The sequence below is a fragment of the Homo sapiens genome, chromosome 14 (genome assembly GCF_000001405.40).
Source record: "Homo sapiens chromosome 14, GRCh38.p14 Primary Assembly".
Taxonomy (NCBI): Eukaryota; Metazoa; Chordata; class Mammalia; order Primates; family Hominidae; genus Homo; species Homo sapiens.
Window position 1 is genome coordinate 23838106 of NC_000014.9, and position 16122 is coordinate 23854227.

A 16122-nucleotide genomic window follows, 5' to 3' on the forward strand; every position below is an offset into this window, starting at 1 on the left:
CATTAAGGAACCCAGCAAGAGTCACCTCATTAGAACAAAATATGCTCCTAGCACCTTTATCACTTGGGAAATTACAAAGGTTTCACGAGCTCTGTCCAAGTTCTGACCAGGGAAGATGACCAAAATAATTTTTTATAAGGACTGATATTTTCCTATGGATCTATTTACTGTAGCCAATTTATCAGCCTGCTCTTTTTGTGTGGTCCCCCTACCCTCCACCCCACAAAGAATAACCCCTCTACTGCAAGTCAGTAATGTAGGTGAGAAGATCTCAGTTTTTCCTTTTAATAAATTCCTACCTGATTTTCAAAAAATCTTATCCAAATAGACTTCAAAGTTTTATTTATAGTATAAGACATGCTGATGAGGTATGGGACATGGTATATGATACATGCAAGAGTAGTTATTTCTGCTATTTAAAGCTAACAAATTTTTTAAGCCAATCTGTCTTGAATATAATCAGGTAGCTCCAAGACTGGATAACCTTTCTTGAAATTAATCTTTCCTTCTTTTTCATAAATTTAAAAAATTCTTAAGACAAACATAATACATTTCCCTTAAATAACTGTCTTAAACCAAAAGGAATTGAATTTGTGAAAGGTCATCTTGATAGATTTATTTAAATAAGTTATAAATTTATTTTAATTAATGTTATTTACTGTATAAAAAATTTTGCCAGTATTGAATAGCAAAGCAATTAATCACAAGCCAAAGCAATATAAATAAAAATATAGTGTAAGACATCTTATTAAGACTTAGAAAAAAAAGTTTCTCACTGAGTAACATGATCAGACTCAAATAAAGGTCTAGCAGTTATAAATGTATTATATACATGTATTAATTTCTTGATCTCTTTTATAGGTCCATATGTGCATAGAAAATAATATTTTTGAAGTTAAAAATAAATAATAAAATTTATGTCTTTCATCTAAAACTTATGCTTACTTTTCCTCTGTGCAAATACTGAACCCTGAATACTGAATTTGTGATAAGCATACATGAATACTATTTTCACCTGAAATGAGATAATATCCCAGTTCTTGATGGTTGTTCAAACAAGAGAAAGCTCACTCCCCTATGTGAAAAGTGGAAAACTGCAGCCAAATGCATATTTCTTTAGGAGTGGTAGAATACTGTTTCACAGAAATCCAAACTTTTCTTAGGTCAGGTCAGTGATTCTCACGTGATTTACTTCAATTCACAAAGTTCTTCATCTTCTTATCAAAGTCAGGTTCCCAGAATGAGCCAAATACTGTATCCAGAGCTAGAGTCAGGATCCTTTACTTGGCCATAAGCTTGTGTGAAAAAGGAGGAAAATACTATTAAATTGTGTTCTGTAGTTTTCCTACTTGTTTTTTAATAACACTTGAGAATTGCTACGTAGTAAAAAATTTAACCTTGTCCAAAAGATGTCTGACTGCTTTTTCCCCCCACTCTTTGCTCCTGGGAGGTGGTCTCTAAGCCCTTGGAATGTCCCACCTGGGAGTGGCTTTGTTTGCTTTGGGGTCTTGGGTGAGCCAGACAGTAACATAGTGATTTATGGTGGGGGCTTTGAGCCCCACCAACAATGTGATTTAGGGTGGGGGCTTTACTTCACACAGTAGTTGACCTCCTTGGGGACTGGAAACTGACATCAGCCACTGGGAAGTCAAGCATGCCTACATGAGTCCCAGTAAAGACTTTAGACACCAAGGATTGGATGAGCATCTCTCATTGCCGGTATTCTGTGTGTGTTGTTATGCACCCGTGCCAGGAAAGCAATGCTATCCTTACTTCATGGGGAGAAGAAGCTTCTCATATTTGGTAACTTTCCTGGATTCTGCCCTATGTATCTCTTCCCATGGCTGATTTTTATGCGTGTTATTTGCCTATAATAAATTGTAACTGTGGGTATAATAGATTTAAGTGAGTTCTGTTAGTCTTTCTAGTGAATGACTGAAGCTGAGGGTGCTCTGGGGATCTTCACACTTGCAACTGATGTCAGAAGTGAGGGGGTCTTATGATCTATTCTCCCAACTTCATAGTTAAGTAACTTTTGCAGTTGGCCTCTGGACCAGGATTCACTAGATCAACCCTGACTCACTGAACTATGTGATTTGGATAGAGAAAGGAAATAAGGGCAGGGATTGGTGAACCTTTAATTCTAGGTGGCTATCTGGTCATCCATGGTGTGGAACTATAACTGCACTGTGATCAGTTATGAGCGGCAAAAGTAATCAATGAAATTTAGAAGTGGTAGACCCGGCTCCCAAGGAGTTGGCTTACTTGATATGCAAGAAAATGCAAAATAATAAGAAATAACGGACAAATTATGCTGGGACAACAGACATCATGTCTACAACCTCTGGTCACCAGGGAGGTTGTCCAGGTGGAGGGAGGGTAAAAACAAGAAACTGCTGAAACCAGGGGATAGTGTGAAAGACTTGTCTCATTTTGTGGATCATTACCGTCAATTTTTTTGTAAAGCCTTTACTGAAATGATTGTGAAAATGACTAACATAGTGGCAGCATCCTTGACTTTGAACACTGCAGATTAGAAGAACATGTTTGGGTTGCTGTAAAATCCACAGCTCTCTTTTGAACATTGTAGATGTGTATCATCCAGACACATAGCAGGTACAGGTAGCCTGGAGGACTGGATAAAGGCTACTGTAAAATGTGTTTACATTAAGAAGGGGGATTGTTTTACTACAAAAAAAAATGCCAAATGGAATTTTCCAAATAAAGGAGCTGATATACTTCATATGCAAGCCATGTTGGATTAACATTATAATGATCAGGTTATTTATCCACTAAATATAGCCCTTACCTACGTCATGGTAAATATCAAGATTTAAGGGGGACCCTTTTGCCTGGGACCCCATATAATCTTACTGCTATAAAATCAAACAATGGTAAGAGAAACCTCATCAGATGTGTTATCTTAGCTTACCCTTATGGGCTTTACAAATGCTTAGAAAATTAGGGTGATTCACAAGAAAGTGAGGAAAGACAAATGGAAGAGTCAAGGGACATGTCCCAGCAGAGCGGAAATATTTAAATGATGAAGAAATGGAATGAATAAAGCTGACATTGATGGAGTTAAAACAAAGGTCTTAATGAAACACTGTGGAAGTTAGGTGGGCCAATGGGAAACCCTCCTGACCCCTCAATATTAAAGGACCTTAAGTAACTCTGCTCTATTTACCCCTGTTTTGAGGAATTAAAAAACAACAACAAAGGACAAAGATGACAGTGATAAACCTGAACTTGAATTACCTGTCACAATGGTCTGCCAGATTAATCAAAATGAAGATTGACTAGAAAACTAGGTCTTCTGTGGGGCAAAATGACCAGGAGTAGAGAAGACTTTTCTAGGACTCCTTGACTAGGGACCCCAATACATAGTGATTTCAAAACCTGTTAATGAAGTCTTAATGGGAGCTACAATTAGATTGGGAGGGCACAGACATGCAGTGGCTCATGGGATTAAGGTGAAAGGTCGAATATAAGTTAGAATGTTTTACATTTGTGTTGTTGAAATTGTCCAGTAGAAAAAAAAAAAGAATCGGAATGTTTGGAAGGATTTCATGTCTCCTTTATCTAAATGTGTTATTGGTATGGGTATTAGTCTGACTATGGAACACTTTCCCTATCTACTGTTGTAAAACAGAAAGCATCTAAGTCTGCCCTCAGTCAAGTCTGCCAGTCTTGATGGGACATGCTAATTGGGAACAACTAGAGCTGCTCAAGCCCTCATAGGTTTTAGTTTGAAACATTATAGGACATCCAGTGCACAAAAAGAAATCAATGATATGTTAGTAGCTGAAGTGCTGGTATACATGAATTTTTTATACAAAGCTCTGTATGGCTTGTGAAAAAAGCAGATGGCTCATCTGGACTAATAGTGGAATATTGAGGCTTGAATAAACTGGTGCCACCCATAGCACTAGTAGTCTTGATATTGCTTCAATGCCACAAAAAGTACAGCAGGCTAAAGAGTCTGGTACTTAGTGACTGATTTTGCAAATGCTTTTTTTGTTCTATGTCAATCTTAGAAAAAAACCAGTTGCAGTTTGCCCTGACATGGAAAGATTATGTTGTTATAGGATTATTTAAATTCACCAGCTTCTACAATAATTTGGTTAAAAGGGATTTGGATTAAAGCAGGTTCTAAGTGTAATAATACACTGTATTGATTATATCCTGATAATATCTGAAACTGAAAACCAGGTGAGGAATGACCTAAATGCAGCAGTGACACACATGACCAGCAGAGGCTGGCTGATAAGTCTAGCAAGGGTCAAGGCCTCTCAAAATGGTGGAATTCTTAGGAATAACCTAGGCAGGTGCCACCCATGACATTCCATAGGTAAGCACAAATAAACTGATCTCATTACTACTCCTTGAAATAAACAAAGAAGCCCAATGTTTCATTGGTCTATTTAGATTTTGGAGGATGCATATTCCACATCTAGAAATGTTACACACTGCTATCCATAAAACTACCCAAAGAGTGCTGTATTTGAATGAGGGACCAAAAAAGCAAGCCATGGCTGAATTGCAAAAAGTAGTTCCTCTCTCAATGCTTATTTTGTCCTTCCATACCATATATGATCTTGGAAGTGTCTGTAACACATGCCTATTATATGTAGACTGGAGATTACTGCAAAAGCCTGTGAGTACCACTCATAGGTGACCACTGGGATTCTGTATCAGAATATTCCTAAATGGTATAGTAAGATACACACAATTTGAGAAACAGCTACTACCTTACTATTGGACATTAATGGTAAAAGCCCCTGTGAGTGAAGGACATAAAATGCTCCTGAAACCTGAAATACTGAGATTGTCTTGTGTTATGTCAGAGAAACAATCTAATAAGGAAGACAGCATCCAGAAGAGTTCCATAATAAAGTGGAAATGGGAGAAACATGTTACTGGGTGGACACAGAGGTACCCATTGTATCTACAAGCAGGTAGACTCTTTCCCTCTAGGACTGACTTCTCGGATTGACACCTGAGGAACTACTGGGTCCTATCGCCACCTGGACAGTGCCCTGTTAATAGATCTCTATTAACCATCAAAGAGCTGCTTGGTTCATGAATGGCAGTTCCAAGGTGGATGAATAGCCTCCTGTTTGGAAGGGACCACACTAAGACTGGCAGATTGAAAGACTCTGATTGAAAAAGATAACAAATTAGTTCAACGGACTGAGTCGCATGCTGTTTTCCTGGCAGTGAAGGGGGAATTGAACAATAATAAAAGCTTTTAAGTTTGGGTTTTACTGACTTATGACAGTAGCCCATGACCTGGCTCTATAGTCAATGGAACACTGGCCTATTAAGTAGACGCCTGTATGGGGCACAACCTCATGGAAATTACTATAGGAATTTAAGGAGCACATTAAAGTGGAATATGATAATGTTCATCAGAAGAGATCCTTTCTAGGGTCAGAAGGCAATTAGAATTGGCAAGAGTATATCCTGTTGTGTTTGCTTGAGATGGCCACCTGGGTCCATGAAATGAGTAGATGTGGTACTTCAGCAATGCAGAGATGGGCTGAATCTAGACATATTCTTCTTGCAGAAAATGCCAACAAGATCTGTTCTGTGTGCCAGTGAGAAAGACAGACTGCAGATGGCTCTGGGACAGATTTCCTGAGGGGAAAAGCCCTTAACACAGCTGGCAAGTCAGTTTCATTGGCTCAGTGTGGGTAGACTTGGGAGCAATTAATGGGTCCTGACAGGAATAGACACTTACTCTGGATTGGGTTTTGCATAACCAGTGGTAGATGAAATATTAAAAATACTATAAAAAGACTGAGAAAAGAATATTATACCAATATGAACCAAGACACATTTCTTCAGACCAAACAACATAGTCTCATCCTTAGAGTTAGGGTTTGATAGAGAATTCAAATGGTCAGTTGAAAATTTGTTATCTAAAACGGAGGAAAATAAAGGCATAAAAGGCTGGCTTACACACCTTCACAAATGTGTGCTCAAATTATACATGGGAGGGGCTACTGAGGGTCCCCACTAGATAGATTCCTCTATTGTTCTAGGGGATCTGAATAAGAGGAGAGAGAGCATAATGACATGACTATAGAAACCTTACCATGGGGAAGGATGTTGGTGTGAGCAGACAATTCTCCCCTGCATCACCTTGACTTTATTTTTCCTACCTGATGCAGTGATCCCAGGACCAGGGCTGCAACTATAGATAATGGAGGCAGGGATGATCCCTAAGTAAGAAAATGTACTGTATTTTGAAACTTTTAGATCAGAATTCCTAAGATCTTGATAAGGTAGATTGTGCCTTCACCCCATCTGCTAAAATTGGGATTGACAGTGAATGCACCAGCCGGTATTCCTCCTCTCTCCAATAATCAATAATCCTTTCTGACCTTTGAAGAGATGTGGGTTTCAGCCACTGTCCTGGTCCAGATGTCCAGAAGCAAGACTAGTGTAGTGGGTGTCTCACCCTCAGTTCACTTTTGTTGACATAGGATAGGGTTACAGAGGTATAGATATCATAGAGAGGTATAGATATCATACAGAGGTATAGATATCAATGGGATATCATTATCATAGGAAATGTTTTCTTTAGACTGCTCTCTCTGTGTTCATTATTTAGGTTGGCATAAATGGTGTCACAACTGGGATCTGAAGAAAAATCACTATTGGAAGGAATCAGTGATTCTTGGAACTGGTGTGCAGTACGCCAGTGTGCAGAACTGATGTGTTAACCCTTTGAGCTCTCCACTTTTACGGCTCACCTTTTCTGCTCTGGTGAGACTTCTCTCAGGCTGAGCCTCCCTCCTTTTGGTAGTAGCTTTTCACTTTATTTGGGATTTGATTTTGTTATAAGGCCCCCTTAAATAAAGGAGCTTACATCCCTCTGGAGGGATAAAAGACTGTATTTTCTAGCAATTCTTTTCTGCTATAAGTACAAATATCCTTCTAGTTTGAGTATTCTGGCTTCCCTAGAATTTTCATTTTGTCTGCAGGACATATCTTTTTTTATTTTCTTTTTTCTTTTCTTCTTTTTTCTTTTTAATTGTCTTTCTTTTTCCTTTTTAGTTTTCTCATTTTATTTTATCTTATTTTTTTTCTTTTATTTTAGGTTCACAAGTACATGAGAAGGTTTGTTATATGGGTAAACTCACAGGGATTTGTTGTACAGATTACTTTCTCACCCAGGTACTAACCCCAGTACCCAGTAGTTATTTTTTAGATCCTCTTTCTTCTCCTACTCTCCACCCTCAAGTAGGCCCCAGCGTGTGTTATTCCCCTCAATGTGTCCATATGTTCTCATCATCTAGCTCTCACTTACAAGATAGGATATACACTTTTTGGTCTTCTGTTCCTGAATTCATTTGCTAAGGATAATGGCCTTCAGCTCCATCCATGTTCCCACAAAGGACATGATATCATTCTTTTTATGTCTGCATAGTATTCCATGGTGTATATGTACCACATTTTCTTTATCCAGCCTGCCATTAATGGGTATTTAAGTTGATTCCATGTCTTTGCTTTGTGAATAGTGCTGCAATAAGCATACACATACATGTGTCCTTATGGTAGAACAATTTATGTTCCTTTGGGTATATACTCAGTAATGAGATTGCTGGATCAAATGGTAGTTCTGTTTTTAGGTCTTTGAGGAATCACCACACTGCTTTCCACAATACTTGAACTAATTTACACTCCCACCAATAGAATATGAGTGTTCCCTTTTCTTCACAACATCGCCAGCATCTGTTATTTTTTGACTTTTTAATGATAGCCATTATAACTGGTGTGAGATGGTATCTCATTGTGGTTTTGATTTGCATTTCTCTAATGATCAGTGATATTGAGCTTTTTCTCATATGCTTGTTGGCCACATGTGTGTCTTCTTTTGAAAAGTGTCTGTTCGTGTCCCTTGCCCACTTTTTAATGGGGTTGTTTTTGTTTTTGTTTTTGTTTTTTCTTGCAGATTTGTTTAAGTTCCTTATAGATGCTGGATATTAGACCTTCATCAAATGCATAGTTTGCAAAAATTTTTTCCCATTCTATAGGTTATGTTTACTCTGTTGATAGTTTCTTTTGCTGTGCAGAGGCTCTTAAGTTTAATTAGATCCAATTTGTCAATGTTTGCATTTGTTGCAATTGCTCTTGGTGTCTTTTTTTGTGAAATCTTTGCCCCCTCCTATGTCCAGAATGGTATTGCCTTGGTTGTCTTCCAAGGTTTTTATAGTTTTGGGTGTTACGTTTAAGTCTTTAATCTGTACTGAATTGATTTTTGTATGTGGTGTAAGCAAGGTGTCCAGTTTCAATCTTCTGCATATGGCTAGCCAGTTATCCTGGCACCAGTTATTTGAATAGGGAGTCCTTTCCCCATTGCTTATTTTTGTCAGCTTTGTCGAAGGTCAGATCGTTGCAGGTGTGTTGCCTCATTTCTGCCCTCTCTATTTTGTCCCATTGTTCTATGTGTCTGTTTTTGCACCAGTACCACACTGCTTTGGTTATTGTAGCCCTGTAGTACAGTTTGAAGTCAGGCAGCATGATGCCTCCAGCTTTGTTCTTTTTGCTTAGGATTGCCTTGGCTCTTTGGGCTCCTTTCTGATTCTATATGAATTTTAAAATAGTTTTTTTCCTAGTTCTGTGAAGAATGTCATTTGTAGTTTAGTAGAAATAGCATTGAATCTATACATTGCTTTGGGACATATGGCCATTTTAACAATATGGATCCTTCTTTTCCATGAGCATGGAATGTTTTCCCATTTATGTCATCTCTGATTTCTTTGAACAGTGTTTTGTAATTCTCTATGTAGATATCTTTCGCCTCCCTGGTTAGCTGTATTCCTAGGTATATTTTATGTGTGTGGTCATTGTGAATGGAATTGCATTCTTCATTTGGCTCTTGGCTTGACTGTTGCTGATATATAGGAATGCCAGTGATTTTTGTACATTGATTTTGTATCCTGAAACTTTGCCGAAGTTGTTTATCGCTAAATAAACTTTTGTGCCATGACTGTGGGGTTTTCTCAATATAGAATTATGGCATTTGCAACAGGGATCATTTGACTTTTCTCTTCCTATTTGGATGGCTCTTATATCATTCTCTTGCCTGATTACTCTGGCCAGAACTTCTAGTACTATGTTGAATAGGAGTGGTGAGAGAGGGCATCCTTGTGCCAGTCTTCAAGGGCAATACTTCCAGCTCTTGCCCATTCGATATGATGTTGGCTGTGGGTTTGTCACAGATGGCTGTTATCATTTTGAGGTGTGTTCTTTCAATACCTAGTTTATTGAGAGTTTTTAACATGAAGGGACATTGAATTTTATCAAAAGCCTTTTCTGCATCCATTGAGGTAATCATGTGGTTTTTGTCTTTAGTTCTGTTTATGTAATGAATCCCATTTATTGATTTGCATATGTTGAACCAACCTCACATCCCAGGGATAAAGCCTACTTGATTGTGTTGGATTAGTTTTTAGATGTGCTGCTGGATTCAGTTAGCCAGTATTTTGTTGAGGATTTTTGCATCAATGTTCATCAAGGATATTGGCCAGAAGTTTTCTTTTTTGTGTGTGTCTCTGCCAGGTTTTGATATCAGGATGATACTGGCCTCATAGAATGAGTTGGGGAGGAGTTGCTCCTCCTCAATTTTTGGAATAGTTTCAATAGGAATGGTCCCAGCTCTTCTTTGTACATCTGGTAGAATTCAGCTGTGAATATGTCTGGTCCTGGACTTTTTTTGGTTGGTAGGCTATTTATTACTGATCCAATTTTGGAGCTCATTGTTGGTCTGTTCAGGGATTCAATTTCTTCCTGGTTTAGTTTTGGGATGGTGTATGTGTCCAGGAATTTATCCATCTCTTCTAGATTTTCTAGATTGTTTGCTTAGAGGTGTTCATAGCAGTCTTTGGTGGTTGTATTTCTGAGGGGTCAGTGGTAACATCCCCTTTGTCATTTCTAATTGTATTTATTTGTGTCTTCTCTCTTTTCTTCTTTATTAATCCAGCTAGCATCTAGACTAATTAAAAAAACTTACTTTAAAAAAAAAGTCCTGGATTTATTGATCTTTTGAATAGTTTATCATGCCTTAATCTTCAGTTCAGCTCTGATTTGGGTTATTTCTTGTCTTCTACTAGCTTTGGGATTGGTTTGCTCTTGCTTCTCTATTTCTTTTAATTGTGATGTTAGGTTTCTAATTTGAGATCTTTCTAACCTTCGATGTGGGTGTTTACTGCTATAAATTTCCCTCTTAACACTGCCTTAGCTGTGTCCCAGAGATTCTGGTATGTTGTATCTTTGTTCTCATTAATTTCAAAGAACTTCTTGATTTCTGCCTTAATTTCATTATTTACACAAAAAGGTTATTCAGGATTGGATTGTTTGATTTCCATGTAATTGCATGGTTTTGAGCAATTTGTTTAGTCTTCATTTGTATTTTTATTGTGCTGTGGTCCAAGAGTGTATTTGGTATGATCTCAGTTCTTTTGCATTTGCTAAGCATTGTTTTATGTACAGTTGTGTGGCCAATTTTAGAGTATGTGCCATGTGGCAATGAGAAGAATGTATACTCTGTTGGTTTGATGTGGAGAGTTCTGTAAAGGTCTATCAAATCTATTTGGTCCAATGTTGAGTACAGCTCCTGAGTACCTTTGTTAATTTTCTGCCTTGATAATCCATCTACTACTGTCAATGAAGTGTTAAAGTCTCCTACTATTATTGTGTGGGAGTCTAAGTCTCTTTGTGGGTTTCTAATAACTTGCTTTAGGAATCTGGGTGCTCCTGTGTTGAGTGAATATATATTAATGATACTTAAGTCTTCTTGTTGAATTGAACCCTTTACCACCATGTAAAGGGTCTTTTTTGATCTTTGCTGGTTTAAAGTCTGTTTTGTCTGAAATTAGGATTCCAACCCCTGCTTTTTTCGATTTCCATTTGCTTGGTAGATTTCCCTCCATCCCTTTATTTTGAGCCTAAGGGTATCACTACGTGTGAGATGGGTCTCTTGAAAACAGCATACCATTGGTTATTACAAGGCTTATCTTTTCTGATAAATTTACTTTTTGTCCTTTTTGCAAGCCTAATTCAATATTTTGTTTGATCTGCATGCCTGGGTTAAAAGTTTTGTGAACACTCTTATCTTGGTTCCATTTTGGCTTGGTTATGCCCATCTGTAAATGATTTGGCCCTTTTCCCTTGCTTGTTTCTAAAAATCATCCAAGAGCAAAAATAAACATTCTAGATGGTGTATGCAAGATAGCTAATTGAAAGCCACTAGTGTGGTCCCCATCATCTAAAACACTGGTCCAAATTCTTGATATTTTATGAAAGAATTTATAGCATTTTCTTTGTTTTTGAGAAATTAATAAGAAACAGAATTTTCAAACATTAAAGCATGCCAAGTTTTCTGGGACTCCCACTGTCCACATATTATGGCCTATTCTCATGTGCAATTTAAAAATTGATGGGCAAATTACATCAAGAAAAATTCAGAGCCCAAATTATCATTACTCAAGCTGTTTTTTAAAAAACCTTGCAACTATAGAGTTAACATGTAGAGCCTTCTAACCTCCCTATCTCTATTTCTTTTCTGCCGACTTTTAATTTGTCAACTTTTCTACTGATGTTGAGATAAAACTCATTGCTTGTGGCATTTCAGCCAAGGTTTTAAAAGAGTCTCACAGGACTTTCCGTTTAATGGCTTTACTAATTAAAATAGCTCCATGGTAACCAACAACCTAGACACCTTTTGGAAATGCATATTTAGGTTTGCTTGACTAGCAGTTGTTTATGGTGATGGAACAGTTCATCCAAGGATTGATAGTCTGAAAGGGAAGAACTAGACAAATGTTTTTGAAAGTTATACTCTCAGATCAAACAGGTCAAATTCTTGAGCTCAGTGCAATAATATAAGGTGTCTTTGTCGGGCGTAAATTTTGCATTGTCTGCTATGCAGAGGCCAAAAAGAAAAGAAGCAAAGAAAACCTGCTAAAATGTTTCTCCACCTGCATCAACTGTCAAGCAAACCAAACCAGCAAACAAAATATAGGTTTGTTGCTAAAAAGACTATTTGGAGATTTGGGGGTTTTTTTCTTATAAAATTCAGCCAGTCCTAGCTAAAAAGTAAACATTGAAAATTTAACCCTAAACTCATTTGAAACCTTAAAAAATAGAAAAAAAGAAAGAGGGTTGTTTTTTTTTTTAACCACATTGCTTCACCCACAGTTTTGGTCTGCAGCCTTATTAGATTACCTATAAGGGCAAATAAAGTTTAGCCATATGAACAGATCCCATCTTGCCAAAAATATAATTTTGACCCAACTGTCAAAACTGGCGAATCTGTAAGTTTTGTGTCTCATGCCTAAAATTCTAAAGTGAAAGCTATAAGATCTCTGTGTGTATGTATATATGTCTAGGTGTATCTACCCATATGTGCATATATTATGTTATATGCTATATTTACATGTTATAATCTGGCATACTCATCCAGAAATCCCTTAAGGAATTATATTCAGATTGACTTTAATAAATGAGCACTCATATAAAATATGTAGCAATTAACCCAAATACCTTTTAGTTTATATGACTTAAGCAAATCTTTGATAAGTAAGCTGGTTTTTTAAATGTTGGTTAAAATGAAAAATAGAAATGCCTTAAAATTTTTCAGCATACATTTTTGCCTGTGTTTACTGGTCAGACAGCTTTATAGTCATCTCTACCAAAAGTTTTAAGGTGTTAGAGTTTGACATAAAGATTATAAAACTGTAAACTGAGCTTAAAACAAAATGATCTTTGTGCAATTCTTTGATATGTAAGACTAATATTATTGGTTTAATAAAAACAGCTGTAACTTCTGAGTTATTGGCAAAATACCATATATTTAACTTTAAGGTTATTACTTAGGTGAACACATGATATTCACAGGTTATAAAATGGCTAGCAGAAAAATAACAAGATGATGACTAGCTTTGTCTAACTTAGTTTTCATGATTAATCTAGACACAATTGTTAGAAATAAATACATTTGGTAAATGTAAATGGGATACATTTCATAAATGACCTATTTATGTGATTTGAAATCTTAAAGTTATGTTAAATCAAGTAATAGAGACTCATTGAATTTGGATTATAATCCCAAAACACACAATCTGGAATGCCATAATTCCAAATGTCAAAATCCCAAAAAATCAAAATCCCTGAAGTCTAAATCCCTAATGTCTAAAATCCTGAAAATCACAATTACAGGAAAATTGCATCATGTTAGATGGAAGTATTACCTTGTTGTTGTCTTTATGTGGAAGAAAATGGATTTCATTTGAATCCCCAAACCACAATAATATATTTGGAATTAGGTACAATCAAGGCTTCTAAAAGCAAATTTGAAGGTGTTACCAACAAAGTTTTGTTTTTTCCACTCAGCCCAATGCATTTGGCATAAAATTCAGATGATTGAGTTGGCCACAGAATATGGCAACAACAAAAACTTTAGTTTAAAATTGCCTGATTTGCTCACATTAGTATTCTATCCAGCTGATGTTATTTGAGGAGCTTTTAATAAATTAAAGTCACATTTGCCTGAAGAAGCCAGCAAAGTTACTGACTGGTTCAAAAATAATTATGTTCCTGGTAGAATGAGAAGACACTCGCACAACGGTGTTGCTGTTTGGTCACCATTATTGTTTCTGCCAAATTTGTGGTCTGTATATTAGCACATGAAGAATGGATTTCTGCACACCTGAAACAACATAGAACTATGGCACAGAAGATGGGAAAATTTAACAGGGGATGCTCAAGTCAGTGTACATCAAATAACAGAATTTCAAACAGAGCAGTGCCATGTAGAAATGAACATGAACATAATCTCTGAGGAGAGCCATGTCCTAAAAGAAAAGAAAAACAGTTATTCCTCGAGATGTAAAACTTTTAAACATAGTTAATAATCATGAAAGTTGGCCAGCTCTGATGGACTATTTCCAAGCAACTGCCCATAGTCTATGCCTGTGCACTTTTTCATATATTGAATTTTTTTGTTTTATTCTTTTTAAGGTTTTTTGTTTTACTATTTTAAATTATCAGCATTATTTTTTGTAATTCACTATGAGATGTATTTTATCTTCACATCACTTCCAGTACTGGAGATATAAATAAATTAAGGAGTTTTAGAGAGTTCTAATTCATTTTGTGCATTTTTCGCAAATGTGACTCCATGAAAGTGCATTAACACAACAGTGGCTTTGTGTGTAAGCATTGTGCTTGTACACAAAAACATTGAAATGTCCTCAGTAATGAAGAGATGTTCTTTTTTGTACATTTGCATTTGTGAAAGATAAAATTTCTGGAGATCTTGGCTTTTTGGGTTACTGGTGCGGTGATGATACGGCGGTGACACATCTCAGGTTTTTAATCACTCTCATCAAAGGACTTAGACTTCCCTTCACAGTATTTCAGATGACTGCAGTTATACAGCTGGGTGTACACAATTACCAACCATAGTGATATGCATTTATACCTTTCACTTTTTGGCCTATTTCTTTTTGAATATGGTTTTTCTGCTGATAAATGTTATGCCCCTGTGATTGTCATTAGTATACCTGAGTGTTTATGCTTGCAAAAATATGTATGTTATTATTGCCTATTTTATTGTGTAAAGTGGCCTATAAAGTGTTCTGTCAAGTTTTTGTATGTTTCTCAAATAAATCCCCTTTTGGAAATGTAAATAAATATCTTTTAATTTTTAATTGTTTTTTTCCAGAATTATTGTTTGAGGATTTGATCTTTTGGGATTTCAACATTCAGGATCATGGCATTCTGGATTATGTTTTTTGGGATTATGATTGGCTCTCATACTCATTAAATGTCTGAGTCATTCCCACATAAGAAAAAAAAACTGAAAAAAATCGCTGAACATAAATGTACATTTCTCCTTGGCTTCTTAAAGTTTATAGAGACTGAATATTTTTGGGTCTATTAATACACATAAAAAATTATGTTATGGGAAAATATGATCCTAAAAATTATAAAATCATTCTCATCTATAAAATACTGATGTGACACAGTTCAAAATTGCTTGCTAAAAATTAAGGTTACTAAGGGATAAAATTCTAATATATATATAGTTCTGTATGTAAAATGTATTTCAAAAATAAGATGTTTTATTTTTAAAAATTATAAGAAAGACATAAAAATGTATTTAAAAATAATTTTTAATTCAAAGGTGATTTAAAGGTTGTTCCAAAAAGTAAATTTTAAAAGGAAATAAAAAAGAACAGTAAATAGGAGAAAAAGACATAAAAACAGTTATGCGTATGAGAATAAATTTCAGTAAAGAAGGTTTAAAAGAAAAGAGAATAATTTTGTATGAGTAAGAATCTTGCATGGCAAATTTTTGTCCTAAAGTAAAATGACTGGGTATTTAAGGAAGAGGAAGTTTAAAACAAAGCAGAAAATTTAAGTATGTTGTCAAAGACCTGAGTAAGTTGTGATAAGGTTTGTGAAGGATAAATTTATGAAGGGAATTTTGTGTGAGCAAGTTGGCCATAATTAGAAAGGAATTATCTATAAGTCTTTCTAAAGATTGAGCTTTGATATTTAAAAATACACTAATATAAGCCTGGGCATCATGGCTCACACCTATAATCCTAGCACTTTGGGAGGCCAAGGTGGGAGGATCACTTCAGGCCAGGATGAGTTCAAGACCAACCTGGGCAACATAGTGAGACCCCAACTGCACAAAAAAAATTGTTTTAAAAATTAGTCAGGTGTGGTGGTGCACACCTGTAGTCCCAGATACTTGGGAGGCAAAGGCAGGAAGATCAGTTGAGCCCAGGAATTTGAGGTTACAGTGAGCTATTATGCCACTGCGTTCCAGCCAGGGTGACAGAGGAATGCCCTGTCTCCAAAAAAAAAAAAAATACGCTAACAGAAAACTAAAGGTTTGGTACTCTATATTAAAACAACAAGGTGTTTGCTTGTTTGTTGTGTATTGATCTGCTCTTAGTAAAATTTACAAGATGTTTTTATTTTTAATTATCTGCTGCTTTTTTTAATAGAAGTAATTTAATTTCCCTATTTTCAGGTTAGAAATATGTCTTTTTCATTCAGAATGGTAATTTTATTTCTTGAGGTAGAGTTTTCCTC

General features: G+C 36.1%; 1 long non-coding RNA gene across 1 annotated transcript in view; it reads right to left on the reverse strand.

The window, feature by feature from the left end:
- Positions 1–617: 617 nt before the first annotated feature.
- Positions 618–16122, reverse strand: part of LINC00596 (long intergenic non-protein coding RNA 596) — a 95219-nt gene continuing 79714 nt past the window's right edge. The window contains exon 4 of the long non-coding RNA XR_429343.4: positions 618–1295. This is a non-coding gene — a long non-coding RNA (long intergenic non-protein coding RNA 596). The remainder of the gene's footprint in view (positions 1296–16122) is intronic.